The following is a 19,761-nucleotide window of genomic DNA, read 5'->3' on the forward strand; positions in this document are numbered from 1 at the left end:
TTCCTAGGAAAAGTGTAACAATGTTACTCAAGTCACTGAATAGTTCTAAAAGAATTATATTTAATAAAATTTTAGAGGTAAGCATAATTAGGAATCTACCCTTCATTTTGTATAACAAAAATGGGATTTGGAGAGCTTAATCTACCATGGTACCTGACTGATGTTAGAACCAAACCTAGAGCTCACTGCCCATGAACACTGTTTTGAATATTTAAGTCTGTACAATCAAAGATGTACAAGAATCATATATTGTCATCATTACCTTCTTTAAAAATTCAAGATTAGCATTTGGTGTGTTTTCTTTTTCAATTTTGACTGACATTTTAAAGAGAGTATTCATTTAATTAAATGAGATTTTAATTTTACTGTTTTATCAACATGATTAATGGGAGAAATTCAATGAAAGAAAAGCCAGTGTGGCCAAAAGCCAACATTTCTTTCCAATTTATAAAATAGCACAAGATTGATTATAACAGTTTATTTTATTTTATTACATATATAAAACATATGTGTATATAACATATATACATGTTATATGTGTATGTTATATACATGTATATAACATATATACATGTTATATATGTATGTTATATACATGTATATAACATATATACATGTTATATATGTATGTTATATACATGTATATAACATATATACATGTTATATATGTATGTTATATACATGTATATAACATATACATGCTATATATGTATATATGTCATATACATGTTTTTAAGTATATATACATATTTTAGATTCATAGGGTACATGTATAGGTTTATATAATGGGTATATTGTATGATGCTGAGGTTTGGGCTGCTAATGATCCTGTTGCCCAAGTAATGAACATAGTACCTGATAGGTTTTCAACCCTTGTCCCCCTCACTCCCTCCCTGCTTTTGGAATCTCCAGTATAATGCCTCATTTTAATACTTCTTTTAATATTCCCTATGGGGAAAAAAAGAGATGAACAAAGCTCATTACAACTATGCTTTAACCATACTGTTTTGATCAATATAACTAATTTAAATAGCCTCATGGTAGGAGGCACACTCACATTTGTGTTGTTGGTTTTTATACCGAAGTACTATCACAATCACAACAACAAAAATGCTATCTGAGAAGACACATTTTTTCAAGTAATGGCAACTGACCTTCTATTTGAGATCAAAGCAGCAGGCCTATTTAGACCTCTGGCTCTGTCTTTAGGCCTCTCCTCTGCAGTTCACACTAAGAGCCAGGCTAAAGGGATCTGGATACAGCAACTCTGAGGTCAGTGCACCCAGCTGCTGCTATAAATTCTAGCTCTAGGGCACAAAATGTTTTTTCTCCTAGTTTCAGAGAATTTCAATTCCTGCTTTCAATGTCTAGGCTGTGGTATTTAAGAAACAAAAGGAGGGAAAAGAAAAGAATAGTGGTTTATACAAATTATCCTTTTTAAAAGGATATTTCCCCCATCCCAAGCCTGTTTAATTTGAGAAAACAGAGTTAATATTTGCTCTGCTAGTGCTTTCTACTCCCACTTTGGCAGAGAAAAAAGGTTTCTTTAGCTTAAATATTAACCAAACACTTCATAGCTATTCAAAAGTAGGTGCCCATGTTAAAAATAACAAAAAAAAGTAATAAAATCCCAGAAAGCACAACTTGGGAATAAATAGAAACAGTAAAATCTGCTCTAAACCCTTTTTGCATATGTATCCCAAGGCCACCAGAATTACAATGCACTATAGAGTGTTCATAAAAAATTCTAGTAAAGTATGATAGTCATGGTGGCCATCATAGAAAAGGCCACTCTTGGTCCTCTATCAGCAAATAAGCCATTCTCACCCAGGAGCGGCAGAGATGGCTTCCACCTGGCAGCCAAGGTTGCTGTGCAAACAGCATGAAAGCCCCTGTTCCATCCCTATGGAAACCTGGTATGGGGTGCCTGATCTGGCCATGCCAAGGCCAGAGTGAGCAGAGACTGTGAGTATGGGGTAAAATTGGAGCTACAATGGGAAAAAATGGTGAGGGATGATCTGGAGAAGGAAGAAAGAGCAGTGAGTTTGGCTTAGTTTTGCAAAGTGGATTAGAATTAGTACGAATTTCTTGTTAGAAATTTCCTAATATCTTACTCCCAAAATGATTTTCCTCCCTTTCGCCTCTTCACTGTATGACAGAAATCTGTATAAAATGAAGTAGAGTAGAGCAAAAACTGCATGAGCAGGAACAACCTAGTGAAGCAGGGCATCTAAGTTCTTCAAACACTCCTGTGGGCGACTGGAAGACAATGTGAGCTCACCCTTTTCCTGAGAAACATGGAGTGTTCTGTGACCCAAGGAATGCTGGTACTCTAAAAGGTCTCTAGTGGGTATTTAACAGATTGGGCCAATAGTTGGCCTGGCTTCTTGAAACTCTGCCATTCTCCTGACATCCTAGAGCTTCAGTCAGGTAGGCAGCTTCTGGGGCACTAGCGATGTGCAAAACATCTCCAATGAACACCCAAGTATTTTCTGCACATGAAGGCCCTCATCATAAATGACTGCCCCAGCCCTGTGCATCATGTTACTCTTGTACTATTATACTGACCTTGTACTAGACTTTCTTACATGAAATTTCTTTTTCTTTATTTTTTAACATAGTCATCAAAATTTTTACTTTACAACTTGACTGTCGGGTTTTTTTTAATATCATATAAAATTTATAGTGTACAATGTGATATTTTGATGCATATATATATAGTGAAGTGATCACATAGTAAAGCCATTTGACATATCCATTATCTCACATGGTTACTTGTGTGTGTGGTAAGAGTACCTAAAATCCACTCTTAGAAATTTTCTAACATACAAAATATATTAACTACTGTCCTCATGCTGTACCTTAGATCTCTAGATATAGTCATCCTACATAATTACAACTTTCTACCTTTTGACAATATTGGCCTACATCTCCCCATATTCCCCTCTCTCCCACAGTCTGACAGCCACCTTTCTATTCTCTGTTTCTATATATTTGACATTTTAAAAAAGTCTACATATAAGAGAGATCATGCAGTATTTTTTTTCTGGCTTATTTCATTTAACGTAATGTCTTCCAGTCTCATCCATGTTGTTGCAAATGGTAGGATCTTCTTTTTAAAATCTGAATAATATTCTTTATATGGAATTTCATTTTGGCTCCCCAAATAATTCCCTCCTATCCCAGCAATGAACACCAAAAGTCAAGGCCATAATGACTTCTTCATAAGAAGTCCCCCTGAAAGTAGAGCATTTCTTCACAGCACTCATTATTTTCCTTTTCAATGATTTGCTTTATAAAGCAACAAAGGAATGGAGATATTTTCTTTTAAAACATTTGTTTTAACTATTGGTCTCTTCTGAACTTCAAACAGACTGTTAAGTTCCCTTTGCTTTAAAAGACACCAAAGGAAAGTAAACAATTCACAAAAATGGACCTAGTGCTCAATGTATTTAACTTGAGAAAGCATGTTTCCAGCTAAAAGAAATGCAAAAAGAATCCAAAGTTCCAAAACTGCACAATCTCTACAACTTTCCAAACTCTGATTGACTTGTATCTCTGTCTCCTTTTCTGTAACACCTCTTTCTCTAACTCTCTCTAATCACTGTTTCCATAGTCTCCCTCTTTCCCACCTGTCTTTTCTGCCTCTCTCATCTCTCCTGTTTCTCTCCTGTATGTAGCATCTCTGTCTCTGTCTCTCTCTGTTTCTGTACATTTGCGTACCTGTCTGTGTGCCTCTTTCATCTCTTTGTCTTTGGCTCCCACCATAATACTTCCAGGGAACTAGAAAGCACTCATAAAATTTGTCATTTGCCTTATTTTGCAACTACATTGTATTAGTTTTCTTTTTAATATTTGCTTCAGGACAAGTTTGTCCCTGTGACAAGATTTAACAAATTAGACCATATCTCTAGTTCTGTCTCCAGTAGTCATGTCAATTGCAACAAGTGAGGATTGTTTTTATTACGTGCTCCCACGACGGTATCTGCCATACATGTGAAGGACAGGGACAAGTTAGAAACCTGAGTGCACCATAGAATTTTACAGTATATTTTTACGGAAATTCATCATTGTGTCCTGGGTTATACAAATACTATACCATTTCATTGGACAGCACAAGGTGCTTTTACATATATTAAGTAGCTTTTTACATATATTTTACACACACCACAATAAGTAGTTTTCTAAACTTTACATGGCTTATGATCATCCCCTGTTTTTCTGATGAAGAAAATGATGCTTGGGATAAATAATTCTATGAAAAGCAAACATAGAAAACAAAGGCCATGATGAATACAGCACTACAAAAAATTTTCCCTAAATCAGGTATGTAATAACTAAACTGAGCAATATTGTCTGCCAAGAGGTCACACATCAGTGTCTCAAGGACCTTGGAAAAATTAATCAATTTCTGGCTTTAACCTATTCATTTTTTGCAAGTCCACTGAACCCTCAGTGTTTACACCTCTAACCCATGAATAAGATAGAATAAAAGAAGTCAATGCTCTTTCAATATTTTTCAAGCCACCTGAAATCCCACTGGAGACTATGAGATAAAAATATCTTCCTGGTGCCAAGAGTTCTTAAGTCCTTTTCTGATAATATATTTATCCATGTTTTACAAATGGCAAAATTGAAAAAAAAAAAGGTGGGGAGTAAGGTGGGGTAAATAAAAGGTGGGGGAAAATAAAGTGATAACATTAAAACAGAAATGAGAATTTCACAAGTACCTACTGTATACATACAAATTATACCTACTCTTATAACAGACAATACTCCCTCTTGAGGAGCTAAACTTACCTGGTTTCCAGAGAGATTTCTATGCCCAAGGGTCTAAACAAACATGAAACCATTGAGCTTTGACGTGAACTAGATGGAACATTAAAACTTGAAATGGTGCCTATCATAAAAATCATGTGACAAGAGTGCAAATCTCCCACGTCACTCAATTTGATTACAGGCTACCAGCCACTATTCTGTCAATCTGAATGTGGATTCTTGGACATTTATAATCAACAGCTTAAATATACTTTCTGAAAAGAAGATAAAAAGGAGAGAGAGTTCTAACATAGTTGAATTGAACATGAATCTCATTTTTACCTAGTAGTTATTCCCACACAAACTCTGAAAGAAAGGGGAACGGTAGCTTATAAAGATTAAAGAAATGTGGGAAATCAGTTACCTCGTCATTATAGTTAGTAAAGTGGCTCAGTAGTACAAATGAAATACAAACAGGCTAGGAAAGTCAAGATACCATTAGACAAAGGAGTTGCAAAATTAGCAAATTCTATTTGTCTTAATTCTGATACTTTTCTCTTTTTCTGAAATTCATTTGACCTGTTTTATATTTTTGTCACATATTTCATAAGAAAGTTCCTTAAGATGTAAATGTGGGTCAGTTAGCAGTGCTTACCTTTGTTTTTAAGGTTACAGTCCACGTTCACGTCTGCATTTGAGCACTGTACGAGATGTTACATTTAAAAGTAAATAATTCCATCATCTCAACCTGGTGCTCCCGTGAAATGTGGTGCTAGGAAACAGCCGGCAGGCAGTGCTTCTGAACAAATCATACGTCCTGTAATTGCCGCTTAGCTCTAATTACTATTGAGGATCGTGTTTGCAACTTGATTCCAGGGAGAGGGCAGAAAACCTTCTGATGACACAGAACCAAATATATCCTAAAAGACTGACAAGTGGCTTTCTTTCATGTAATTTTTCTGAGTATCCCCCAGCTACTCAAAAACTACCACTCTGTCATAGTAAAATGGAAATAAAGCAAACTGACACCCACATCTCCCTCCTAACAAAACAATTCAATTCTCTCAAAATATCTACTTATCACAACAGTTTGGAATTTTCAGTATCACTTATATGTCAAGGGATTATTCCCCCTCAGGTGGGCAACTAAATCTTTTAAAATTGCTTTTTATTTCAAAGAGAAATGTGTTCTCACAACAAACTTTATTTATATTCTGTTAGACTAGAATAATTTATTTGCATTCTATTAGGCCTGAAGAATTTGTTTCCTTTCCCATGGATTTTTAGGTTTTAAATAAAGATTCATATAGTTCAAAAAGACTAGGGCAGATGTCAATTTGATGTTGATAAAATTAATAGGGACGTGTATGCATCTCAACTCAAAAACCTAATTTCAGTTATATAGGGTATTATGGTAAAATTGAAGTTATACAGGCTTGGAACTAAACTGATTTATTATTGCTCTCATATCTAATTAATTTAACTTTGCATCTAGTGGCATCTGACCATGTTGTCAGAATAAAGCATCTGATATATCCATGTTACACAGTGTGGCTATGACTGAATGGTTGTTTTGCTTATGCTAAGCTGATTGTCATTGATACTGATGAGTTAGCTTAGTGGGCATTTGAATGAATAAAAGAAACTTGAAATGACTGATGCTTGCAAATGTCAGGAAGGATTTTGCACCTTTGGTTGGGCAACTTAGCACATTTACTAACCACAGCCAACACTTTAGTGACGTACAGAAAAAATTATATTTATCCAAGTTCTGAGATTTAGTATATCTGCTTATGTCAGATTTGCACAGTAACTATCAGGGACAGGTAAACCTAAGTGAATAATTAGATGCAGCAAAGAAAATGGTAATTATAAAACCAGCTCTTAGAAATGGTACATTTTTTCCAGTCTCAATCATCTAAGTTATGAATAATAACAAAATAATATTCTAAATGAAACATAGTATGCTAGCTCTATACTTACTTCCCCCCAAATAACAACTGGGCATTCCTTATGATTACAGTATAATTATAGTCATGGCTGTGGTTTTCACTCAAAAAAAAGTCTTCATCTATGATAGCTCTCCCCTAAGAAACCTCTGCTCTGTAGAGATTATGTTGATGGCCTCTTCAAAATATTTTTCTTTCATGAAGAAGTGTTTCATTCTTTCTTACCTGCTGTTGAATCATGACTGATTCTTGGAGTATTTTTTCTAGAACATTTCCCGGTCTGGAATACTAGTGCATCCTTGAACTCCCAAGCTCTTTATTTGTACGTCTCACATATTTTTAGTTTAGTTCAGTAGTACACAAAGTGTGGTCCTCAGACCAGCAGCATCAGCATCACCTGAGAACTTGTTAGAAAAGCAAATTCTGAGGCCTCACTCCAGATCTACAGAATCATAAACACTGGGGATGGGGCCCAGTAATCTGTGTTTTAGCCAGCCCCCTACATGACCTGAAACATGCTGATGTTTGAGAACCACTGGTCCATAGTGCAGGTATGTACCAAGACCAGTGGGAGAATGGGATAAGGAACACTTAAGCCTCTACGGGGAAAACTACAGGAGAGACAGAGGCTCCACAGAGAGGTGACATTTAAATGGTTATCTAAAAAATGAGAAGAGCTTGGATGGATCCAAAGGAGGCACCAGGCATCTCTTACCTAGCTAAGTCATCACCTTGAGTTAGTTAATACAGCCCGCCCTCTCTATAAGACCTTACCCTATCAATCACCGTCTTTCTTTAGTCAGTCCATTCTTAAGGAAACAAAACTTGCTCCATTCTTGTTAGCCTCTTAGTCTACCAACTATTTGCTCTTACCTTTTAACTTCTTTTAGAGTAGCCTACCCTTCCTTTATTTTTTACTATCCCCTTACTTCATAAACACTGTAATCTGGCTTATGATTTCTCCAGCAAAATAAAACTAGGGTTCTGAAGGCCTCTATCAGTCCTCCTTGACCTCTCTACCATTGGTAGAATATAATCCCATTTCTAAATCACCTCTTTTCCAAGCTCAACTTTTGTATTTCTAACCTTAACTTTTGCATTTTCCCTCCCACCTGTATCCCATTGGCACCTCAAGTTCAACTTGTACAAAATTAAACTACTTATCCCAGCCTCCCTGCCCCTATCCCCTCACCTCACTCCCTAAAGGATATTTCTTCTCTGCTGGTCTTTACTTCCTTACATGCAGACTCTAAAACTTGAAGCTGTATTTGACTTCTCCCTCTTCCTTGTCCCTGAATCCAGTTAGTAAGCTTTATGACATCTGTCACCTCCTTTCCTTTTTCATACCCATTGCCATTACCTTCATTTAGGTCCTTATTAGCTGTTCACAAGCATAATTCCTTAATCATTGTATTCACCTTGTAGTCAAATGAATTCTTAAGAAGAACAGCTCAAATCAATCATTATCCTACTCAAACATCTCCTGTGGCTTCTCTCAGTGAGTTACAGGCTCTGTAATACTATACACCTGTCTAAATCTCTACTCGGCTACTTACCAGCTGGGAAACATGACATACATTAATTGACTTAGCCCCAATTTTCTCAGCTCACAAGTAGGAATAAAACAGTAATCATATCTCATGAGGAGCTCTGAAGGAAATAATGCATGTAAATTCTTACTATGGTGGCTAGAACACTGAAGGATTTAGTGAATGGTGAGCATTATTATTACCATCACCACAGAATCCAATTCAAATGCCGCAGTTCAGCATCCAACACCATCCTCAAACTTAAATGAAAACTGTTTTCTCACACTTTGTAAGATTTATTAAACCAAATTCTCTCTCAAGGACAGGACCCACATCTTATTTGTCTTTTTGTCTCTGGCCCCTTAGGCAGTGCCTTACACTTCGTAGTTGCTCCAGAAATGTTCACTGCACGAAGCACTAGCTGGTTCTTGGACATACACACTTTATGCGTTCTATCACTTTTCTCATGCTGTCATGCCTCCCAGGATGCTCGTCCCTTTTTGTCTCCTTTTAAATTCTCTCGATTTTCAAGTGACATTTTAAATGCCATCTCTTCCACGAAGCCTTCCCTCTTTTTTCAGAAGAAAGCATTTTGATTTCCTCCGAAGCTGCAATGCATTTTATTCACATCTCCATTACAGTACTTAAGACTGTTGATAACCTGCAATGCATTTTATTTACATCTTCATTACAACACTTAAGAATGTTGATTGTGTATTACTTGTGCATGTGTCTTCTTCCCCAAAGAGCTCTAAGCTCTTCTGGCTTAGAGACCAGACTTAATTTACTGCTGTTTGTCTAGGGCCCTGCCCAGAGAAGGCACTTAATGAATGTGTTGAGTGAATGTAGGCGTAAGGGAATAGCATCTGTGTTTTTAATATAAGAACTGTGCTGCTGCATACTACCTGATTAAAGGTTTTATTGCTCATTGATAATTATGATCATCTTCAAAGAGTACATGGATTATGAGAATTACAGAAACAAGTTTAAGACCTCTTATAAATGAAGTATGTTCCTAATTTTGGCTTTAAGTCAGTACTCTAGAATCCAGAAGCATTTTTCATGGAAATAATAATTCCTGGGATAGTCCTCAAAAGCTTAATTAACCTGCAGGACAGCTGTGTAAGATACAGCATTGCATTAGCAATAGCACCTCAATGCCAACCCTACTATAAGGGGTCTTGAAAAGGAGTCAATAGCCTATGAGTGTTTATGAGGATACTCAGTCTTCCTTGCAAAACATAAAGCCATGACTTTTGTTTTCTTTTTTATATTTTAAGACAAACTCAGAAAGCCATAACCTGAAGCCAACTTAGTTGTGTATTCGAATGGTTACTTTTCATTGCTAGGATGAACGTGACTTGGTTAAAGAATTAATTTATAACTGTTGATTATAAATTGTAAATGTAGAAAATGGAAGTCCTCTATAAAGTCCACATATTTGAATTTTTAGAACTCAGAAATAATTTTCTTTTTAATTTACAATTCTAAATTATAGTTTTGATGTCTTCACTTTGAATTAATTTTAAATGGACTATGGCTTCTGATTCTTCAGCTTCAGTTCCTTCATCCGAATCCCCCTGACAAATGCATAATGACTTGTTGACAAATTTTTAATTACATTCATTGGGGAGGGGAACTGTTATTTTAGAGTAACTCTTGAGTGACTATATAATCTTTTTCTTTTCTTTTCTTTTTTTTTTTTTTTTTTGAGACGGGGTCTCACTCTGTCACCCAGGCTGGAGTGCAGTGGTGCGATCTCGGCTCACTGCAACCTCCGCCTCCTGGGTTTAAGTGATTCTCCCTGCTTCCGCCTCCCGAGTAGCTGAGATTACAGGCACCAGCCACCACACCTGGCTAATTTTGTATTTTTAGTTGAGACAGGGTTTCGCCATGTTGGCCAGGCTGGTCTCGAACTCCTGACCTCAAGTGATCCACCTGCCTTGGCCTCCCAAATTGCTGGGATTACAGGCATTGAGCCACCGTGCCAGGCCCATAATCTTTTTTAATGAAAAAATTATGGCCCTTCTAGTCATCTGAATTGCAATTTTGGATTTTCACAAGTTTACTTATTTAAAGCAGCAGGCAAACCTAGAAACAAGCTATCTGTGGGGGGAAAAACAAACAAACATATTTTCACTGTTACTTTTGCTTCCACCATCACTGAGCAAGACATTATGGTAAATTGAAAAGTGGGGTCACTGGTCCTAAAGGTGCTTTTCTATTTAGAGAACAAAAATAATATATCCAAAACAATTAGAGACTAATACAAAGACACATAAAATTTAATGCAAATTAGTGGCACAGATATAGAAGTGGTACAGGACAGATCATAACATCCACAGGGCAGGAAGCTTTGTTTCATTCACTAATGTATCCTAAGCACCAGGAACAATGCCTTGCACATATTGTCAGCTCAAAGCCACTGCAATCAAAGGAGAGACAAAAGTGGGCTAGAAGAGCTGGAGAAAGTTTCACTGTGAAGGCAGGACTTGAGCAAGACCTTAAAATTTGTGATTCTTTGATTCCTCCTTAGCTTCCACCTACATCCAGACTATTGGCAAGTCGTGTTGTCTCCAATTCCAACATAGGCTGCAAATCTTCCTGCTTCCATCCATGTCACTGTCACATACTAGTCCGAGACACCAACATTTGTCTGGACTACAGCTAATGGCTCTTAAGGGATCTTTCCGGGACCACTTACGGTCTCCGACATTTGGTTCTCACACAGCAGCCAAGCAAACTGTTTAAAAATACAAATCTGATCATGTCACTCCAGTGGAACAGTTTCCCACAGCACCTGGAATAAAATCAAACCCCTTGCTATGGCCTGCAGTCACCACATGTTTAATTAAGCCCCTGCCTGCTCCAAAACCTCACTGAGTACTGCCTCTCTTCCCCCAAGATCTAAGCGTCCTTCCTCTCTCTTTCCCAAACACATCACATTCACTCTGTCTCAGGCTTTTGCCTCTGCTGTTCCCTCAGCATGAAACTCCCTGCTCCCATTTCAGTTGTGCCTCAGCTCAGTTATCATCTCAGTGAGCCCCTCCCTCTATTACACTGCTCGGTTTATTTACTTCATGGCACTTACTTGTCTCTAAAATGATCATGTTTTACTTGTTTACTTGTTCATTATCTCCTGTTACTAAAATATAATCTCCACAGGGATAAAAACTATATTCCCAGTTTCTAGAGCAGGGCCAGGCCTATGGTAGGTACTCAATACATATTTTGAATGAATGAATGACCATACTTTTCCAGCATTTTCAAATGTGAAAATACAATTTTAGCATCAAATAGTTTCAAGGACTTCTCACATAGTATTAGTGTTATTTTTTCCCTCAGTATTCACTGATCATATTCAAAGCTGTTATGAAGTTAGCAACATTTAAAGTATGGTGGTATTTCATTATCACAGCAGGGCTGACATACATTTGGCAAAAATATGTTGGGTGTGTGTGAGAAATGGTATTTATTCAATCTGTCAAACTGAAATCTATTAAACTTAGTACACATTTCCATTTACAGGTATGTGAGGATCCTCAGCCCACAGATGTCAGTGAAGCCATTAATTGATACTCAGATTTGATATAAGAGGACAGAAGGAATGGCAGAGGTCTTAGCTAGAGCTTTCTTAAGACCAATATGAGAATAAACTCTATTTAAACACTTATCCTAAACTGAGGATAAACTAACTTATTTTTTAAACCATCTAACACCTAGAGTTTATTAGTCATCTTTACTCATTTGTATAACAATGTCTAACACTTACATAACATTTATTATGCACCAACACTGTTCTATACACTTATGTATATTAATTCACCCAATTTTCAAATTAACACAGTAAAGGAAGAACTTGCTATTACCTGCATTCTCTAGATGAGGAAACAGGGCACAGAAAGACAAAATATCTTCCCCAAGATCCTAAAGCAGGCAAGCGTCAGAGCTGGGGTTCAAACACACGTAGTTTGGCTCTAGAGTCCATACTTTTACCACTATGTTATGCTGCCTTGCTGATATAAGGAGGTATCAAATTTACACTAATAAAATATCTTTTGCACCATCCATAGCATACAAGAAAAATTGCTTATCAGATGTCAGTTACTCCTAAATATGCATATTTTACTTTTAAACATTAAGTAGTATCTTCCTGATTACCGCCAAATAAAGCTCTGAAATACTTCACAGCAAGTAACTTTATGAAGCAGTTCTATATCATGTGGGAAATCATGAGGAAAATCTAAATAAAATACCAAATCTCACGGTGCCTTTAATATCACTGTGAAAACAGCATAATTTTCTAGGACATGTTGTGAAGGCTGAGGTGATAAGATAGCATATCTTAAAATGACTTGAAACCAAAAATGTATTTGTGAGCATATTCCCAAATCACCACAAATGTTTTGTTTTGACAGGTTAGAACATGAGGACACAGAACTCACCTTACTATATAAGGTCTTTAAGTGTGCAAAGCACAGTGCTTTCTGCACAGTATTGGGTCAAGCTGTTTATGAAGAAAGGTCAATATTGGCTTATAGCACCAAGGCTATAGATACAGTCCAAGAAAGAATTCCAATAAGACTTAGGTTGTTCTGCCATTCATATAAGGCCCTTCATTTATTTCCTCATTTAGTCCCTCCTTTTTGAAGGGAGTATCTGTCTTATGAAATGTGAATGAGTCAAGGAGGAGTTGAGTATCCTGAACATAGTTATGCAACATGACCCCTATGTAATAAATCTTCCTAGAAGCAGTTCTTTTCCAAATGGGGCCTGTCTTCACTATTCTCATGTGATACTTGGCAAATGAGGTATTCTGAGTCTGACTGGACACTTCTCTGCTCCTCAGCTGACAACTCTTCAACACAGATGTCAGCCAGAAAACTTTACTGGGGCATGTAGGGGATCAGAACTTTTGAATCATATCCAGCCAAGAGAGTCCATCATCTCTCAGCTCTCTGCTGCCCTGACCCATCCCAACACCAACGTACCACTCCTGCAAGTCCTCCCAGCTCTGATGACACAGAACATGGGAGGGGGAAAGGATGGGCTCTCAACATGAAGCTGGTTCCTTTGTGAGTTCACTAAGGCATAAAAATCTGTACATTTCTGTGATCTATTCTTTAATAAAAATCTGGGGGCTTGGGAACAAATGTGAAGGAACTTAGGGCCTTTTATCACAGTGTATGTAGCCTTAGAGCCAGACCCCAGTTCAAATTTTGCTTTTACCATTTAATAGTGAAAAGACTTTGGAGAAGTGCTTATTCTCTGAGCCTCAATTTTCTCATCAGAAATAATATCTGTCTTTTTTAGATTTGGAAGGGGAAGGACACTTATACAATGCTTAACACAGTGTCTGGCACAGTTCGCATTCAATAAATGTTAGTTCTCTCTTTGTTTCTCTGATTCTGAAGAGAGCCAGTTGTTTGGAGGCTGGCATTTAGAAATGCCTATAATATCCTCAACATATTCCATTTTTATTGGTTTTCTCTTTATTTTGGCTTTATGCCAGGGCTTCTTAAATTAGGATCCATGGACCACCCCCTCTCCAGGAATTGTATGCAAATATTTGCAACCATGTTCATTTCTCAGAGAGAGGAATCAGAGTTAATCAATTCACAAGGGATTCTGTGATTCAAACGGATTAAAAATGTCTGCATATGTTTCTGAAAAGTTGCAGGCAAACCGAATATCTTTTTTTAAATCAAATTTTATTTTTAATGTACTAGAAGAGCCTGTGAGTAAAAGGGACTCTACAGTGAATCTTTCTATAAAGCAAATACTTGTTTCATAAACTGCATATTTAATCCAGGTTTTTTGCATACTACATTTGATTAAAGTAGAATATATAGTGATATTACATGCATAGTAGCTAACTTTCATTAACAATTTAAACACTGCTTGTGGGGTCAAGTTCAAGTTCAGTGTACACTGAAAGAATTCCAGAAAGTCCTTGCTCTTAACTGGACAAAGTCTTTGTTATCCTCTGCTCCAAACATCTTTTTATGGAGGAAGAAATTGAGGTTCTGAGAGGTTATGTGACTTGCCCAAGGTCATTACAACAGTTATGGACAATAAGGAATAACAGCTGTAAAAATAATGACAGTGATTATGATGATGATGACAGCACTGTGATCTATTGAGCATTTACTTAAGCTAAGTCTTTTAAAGAGTCTAACCTCATGTACTTTCACTACAAGCCCGAAGGAAGATTACCTCTATTCAGCAGATGAGGCACTCTGCCCAGGGCTCCATAGCCAGCAAAGGGACAACTTAGAACAAAATCCAGCTCACAACTCATATCCCTGTTTTGGCTTTCCACATTGTACTCTTAATCAGTACTTGAAACTGCTTCACAGAACACAACAGAACAGAGAGTCATGTGGTCTTGAAATACAAACAATTAAAAGGTTAGTTAGGAAAGATTCAGTTACAACCTTTAAGTTCTATTCATATTTTCACATGGCGTTTCTCAAATACAATATTAGACAGTTCTTGCTAATGCTACACTTTCACAAATATACACTAGGAGTACAATCTCTAGAACAAATCCAGATCATCTCCTGCTTGTAGTAGGGCTCTTAGACACAACCCTCCTCTGGCCATATTCCTACCCAGTTCGTAGGCCAAAGGGATCGGCCCACATTGTCTATGCCTTCCCTACCCCTCCTTCTAGACCACATCCTGGGTTCCTGGGATTCTGTAAGTTGATGCCCTAATGGCCCTCGGACTACTTCCAAGTCCTGTGTAGGTCTCTTTTCCAGATCCCTTCCTGTGAGGTGGAAAACGCCTGTGGGGGCCTGGGAGTGGCCTCAGGGTGGCTATTTTCAGGAAATGTAGTTGGAGGTTGGCAGTGAGGACTAGGGTGTCTACCTTCTTGTTGAACAGGACAGGAGGTGGGCCAGGAGCCACTTTGTGCTTCCATGTTCTGGCAGAGAACTTTGAGGTGTCTAGGAATTCTAAAATAATACCTGGCCTTCTCAGATATTTATGAATAAAAAAATCCATGTATTCAAAATCCAACTGATTTTCAACGATGGCTAAAAGCCACATAGTGTACTAGGTGTTAAGTATATAATGATGGACCAGAAACCTTCAGTCCCTGCCTTCATGGAGCTAACTGCCTCGTGAAGGGTTTACCTGAACACACAGACATTTAAGATACAGAGTGCTAGTGTGGCAATAGGAAAAACACTGATATGGCAAAGGCTGGGTGGGAAAAGAGAGGCTGATAGAGCTAAGAAGTTCAAGTAGAAGGCATCATAGTAACCTATGTGAGAGACAATTTGAGTATGAACCGAGGGTTAGGCTGTAGTGAGAAAAGAATACAGACAAAAGAGGTAGACTCAACAGGACATGACAACTGATTGGAGACAGGGCTAATATCCAATGGACTATTCAGCAAGGCTCCCAGCTTGGGTAGATGGAAGGGCCTATCATGGAGAAAGAACACAGAACGAGAGGTCAGTTTGGAGGGAAATGTCATTTCTAAGCTTTGACCTGAAAACCCCTCCAACTCAGGGATTTTGGTTTCTACCTACCCATACTACCACAAAGACTGAGGTTGTGCAAGGCCTGTGTGCTAGACTGTATGGTCCTCCCCTTCCCACTAAGCCCTGTTTATTCTGTACCGCCAAAAAGAAGGGCAGACAAACAACAGCCATGAATAAAGGGAATTCTTGAATGAGGCTCTCATTTATAATTCCTCTGTCAAAGATAATCATTTGTTTAAAATATGTGGCTATCATTAAAGTTACTAGGACTATTTAATAAATAATAAAGTAGCAGAATTTTCCCAATTATATTTGATTTTCAGATATTTCAAATCTTATAGCAAGAATTCAGATTTAGTCAATATTTCAAGAATCTGCTCTCAAGTATTTAATGTTAACCTAATAAATGTTGATACTTTAAAGTTGAAGAAAGTGACTTAGGAATGGCGAATTCATATCTTCTGTAACATATCTTTTCAGACGTTGCATATGCATTTCACAGTATATCTCTAGCAGCAATTAATCTTTATTAATAGATCTGAATTATTATCTTTTCTCAATCTCCAAGAATTTCACATGAAAAATTCTGGAAGAAAAATTTTAAGCAATAGCACCTAGACTTGGATGAAAGGAATAGTATAATTTTTAATTTTTATTTTGCCAAAACACCAAACTGATATGCTAACAATACTTTGTGAGGCCAGCAGCTATCAGGAAAAAAGAAAAACCAAAAAAACAAAAAACTAAAGGATAGGTTCAGTTTTTCTTGAAAACAAACTTTTCAAAAGTAAAATTTATCATTTTGCTCAATATTGATGAATATTTGTTTGTTTTATTTATTAGTTATGTCATGTGCTGTAAAGTTAGGTCTTTTTAAAAATAAAAAATTTAGATTAAAAGCTAAATTTAAGAAAGTTACTTTTGAACTTTTTAACAATTGTGCTATGTGAATTTTTGAAGTTAAAAAAATAGAAATCAATACTCTGTAAGGGAAAAATAAAAAACGGATGAGAAAGCTTTCAAGGCTTCATAAGTATTTTAAGTAAGCTCAGAGGAAAAAGACAAGTTGTGTGTCAGCAGTGCCAAAGTTACTCAGATCTAATGCCTATGTGGCTTTGGATAAAGTCTTAATTTTTTTTACATTTCAGTCTCTGTGAATACGAGAACTAGAATAAAAACAAACTCACCAAAATGCCATAAAAATAAGGTTAATTATGAGTTCTGACATAACTTGATAAAAAGTATAGCATTATTATTATAATATCTATTTCATTTTCTCTTTCCACAGAAGGGTATCCTTGTGAACCCAAAGGAATGACTTTCAAAATCACTCCTTTACTATAATGCTGTTTAAGATCCGTAACAAAATCTTTACTCATGAGGAACGGGCAAATAAAAATTAACAATTTGAGGGTGATGATAGAAGTATGACTCAGGCCTGAATTAAGGGGTTTGAATCCTGCACATAAACTGCATTTTACAATAGGGAAAATATAGGTAAACCACAATCTATTTGGGGAAAAACAAAACTGTACCTTTCTGTGGTTAAAATACAGATCAGAAGTGATACTAATCAGATAGGGAGTATTGTACTTGCTCAGAACAATAAATGAACTCAGTACAATTAAATGAACTTTTCTGTTTATCCTTCTCAATATTTTTAGGAGCCAGTGCAAACAACAAAGTACAAAGTCTATGGAAGCAGAATCTAAAGTATCCCTGTTTGGCTCTGAGCAAGATATTTATCTGCTTTATCCTGAATAAGGAGCAGCGTGGGCTAAAAAATATCTCTGAATAAACAATGATAAAATCTGCTGGGTAACTACTAAAATAATGAATATTGAAGCACTGGCATTACAGTCAAATCAACTGTAGCTACTTACAGGAAAAGACCATTAAAAGCCACAAAGCCTAGAAACTAACTAGATGGAAGCAATACTAAGGAAGTTAATCTGAAGTCATACTTGTACATTGAAGAAATTATATTCTTCACATAGCATAGATTGTGAACATTTATAAGTATGGACACAACAACAACTAACTACTGCCTTCTCTTAAGATTCTGAAGAGTTAGGGAAGGAAGGAGGGATGTTAGGGGGGAAGGGCTTTACCTAAGGAGAGAAGCTCCTTGCTTCCCTTGCTCTCTCACTCCTTCCTTCTTGAACTTCTTAAAGCCCTGCCTTCTAGGATATTTCTCTCTCCAGGCCCTCCTCCAGTCTCTCTAATCAAATTGCTTTCTCTTTTTAGAACTGCCCTTCTTTCGTTTCTGTGTATGTTGATGCTGCTCAGGTACCAACATCGGTCTTCTGCTGGTGGCCCTCTACCCTCTCTGGATGGTCTGCTTGCCTCTCAGGGTATTATCTCTCTGCCAATGACTGCTACTCAGAGCTCAGGCCTCTGCCCCAGGCCTCAGCTCTGTATATGCAGATACCTCCTGGGTATTGCCAACTGGATGTCCCAGAACCACGCTGAAAGCCAAATTTATTTGGGCTGGGAGAATTCGCTCTGCGATATGACAATAAAATTACTCATCCTGTGATAATAAAACATATATGTAGAAGAAGAAGAGAGTCAGTGCCAAAAAGTGAGAAAAAAATAAAAACAAGATTTCGTACAAATCTTCACTATACCAGAATTATATATTTCAACTATAGTTATAATGATCTGATTACAAATTAAATGTAACATTATTTGAACTTTAAGTTCAAATGAATGATAGCACTTTGGTTGGGTTTGTTTTGCCCCTCACCAAATGTTAAAACCAGATTGAGAAGCAGAAGTCGAAATGCTATTTATTTGGAATTCTCATTGGCCTGCAAGCATTGCTCCTTTCCTTGGAAAGCTTTTCTTCCTACAGGAGAAGCTTTCAAAGGCCACTTGTCTGGGAGTGAGGCTCCATGTGGTAGCTGATTCTACCTACTTTACTGCAGAATGCCAGACCCAGGGGAAGAATATCAAGAAAAAAAAGAAAGCAAAAGGGAGGAAAGAATTAATATAGTTCTCTCTCTACCAAAATTTCTGCATGAAGAATAAGTGGTAGTTATGCCCAAGTGTTTTGGTATTCTTAAAAGACTTTTGTTTTTTTTTAAAGGGAGGTACCCATGTTTTTAGTTTATATTCTTGACCCAGTGCTGGTATAATGCCCATGGGATAGTTAAAAATTTTAAAGTGCTACAAGATTTTCATTAAAAATCTATTAGAATTTCCTCAAGGGTTCATTTTAAAAGTAAAAGTTGGAATACATTTAAATGATAATATGTTGCATAAAAACTTTAACTTGTTTCTTCCCTTAGATAACTCCTCTCCTTGTATTCTTTAAGTTAGACGATGGCAACTCTGGCACAACACTTGCCCCGTACCTCTCCTTTTCTTCCCACAGGCACACAGTTACCAGGTCTTACATGTGTAACCCTCCAAAACGTCTCAAATCCATCCCTGTGACTGACTTCTGTCCTAGTTCAGACCCTCATCTCTTCACATCATTACTGGACTCCTTCACTCCAGTTTTAATCTCTTTGGATCCATCTCCCATGCCGCTGCCAGATCAACGTATCTAAAAATCAAAAGTGAACCACATTACTCCTCTACTTAGAATCCTTTTTTTCCATTTATCCATTTGACACATATGTCCTGAGGGTTAGGGCCTATGAGCCACATCTATGCGTGATGTTGGGAATGTGGCCTAAACAAGACAGTTGGGGTACCCATGCCCATGGAGCTTCACCTTCATCATGTCATTTACACTAACATGGCCTACATGGTCATAAATCTGACTATTTCTATGCATTTTTAAGAGAGGAAGTATCTTTTTGACTCACTAAGGTTGGATGAAGTATTCCTTCACTTTGTTCCTGTAATACCTATATTCCACATCACCGTAGTTACTGCATTATACTGTGAGCATCTTTCTATAAGTGCACAATCATATACCCAGTTCTGGACAAATATTTAATGACTAACAAATTTGAACATGATTCATAAATTCTATATAGTCTATAATGACTTCAGAGAAAACTGGTGGCAAGAGATACC

General features: G+C 37.1%; 1 protein-coding gene across 21 annotated transcripts in view; it reads right to left on the minus strand.

Annotated features, from left to right (window-relative positions):
• The window catches only part of ZNF385B (zinc finger protein 385B), a 419,631-nt gene that overhangs the window by 115,004 nt on the left and 284,866 nt on the right, over positions 1–19,761 (minus strand). For 2 of the 21 annotated variants that reach the window (NR_104234.2, NM_001282725.3), the window contains exon 3: positions 19,131–19,282. The exons of 17 other annotated variants lie outside the window; for them this stretch is intronic. The gene's annotated coding sequence lies outside the window, so the exon portion shown is untranslated. Of the gene's footprint in view, positions 1–5,413; positions 5,604–19,130; positions 19,283–19,761 lie in introns of those variants that run through there. 2 more of the 21 variants (NR_148055.2, NM_001113398.3) reach the window with 1 other exon arrangement.

The sequence above is a fragment of the Homo sapiens genome, chromosome 2 (genome assembly GCF_000001405.40).
Source record: "Homo sapiens chromosome 2, GRCh38.p14 Primary Assembly".
NCBI classification, from domain to species: domain Eukaryota; kingdom Metazoa; phylum Chordata; class Mammalia; order Primates; family Hominidae; genus Homo; species Homo sapiens.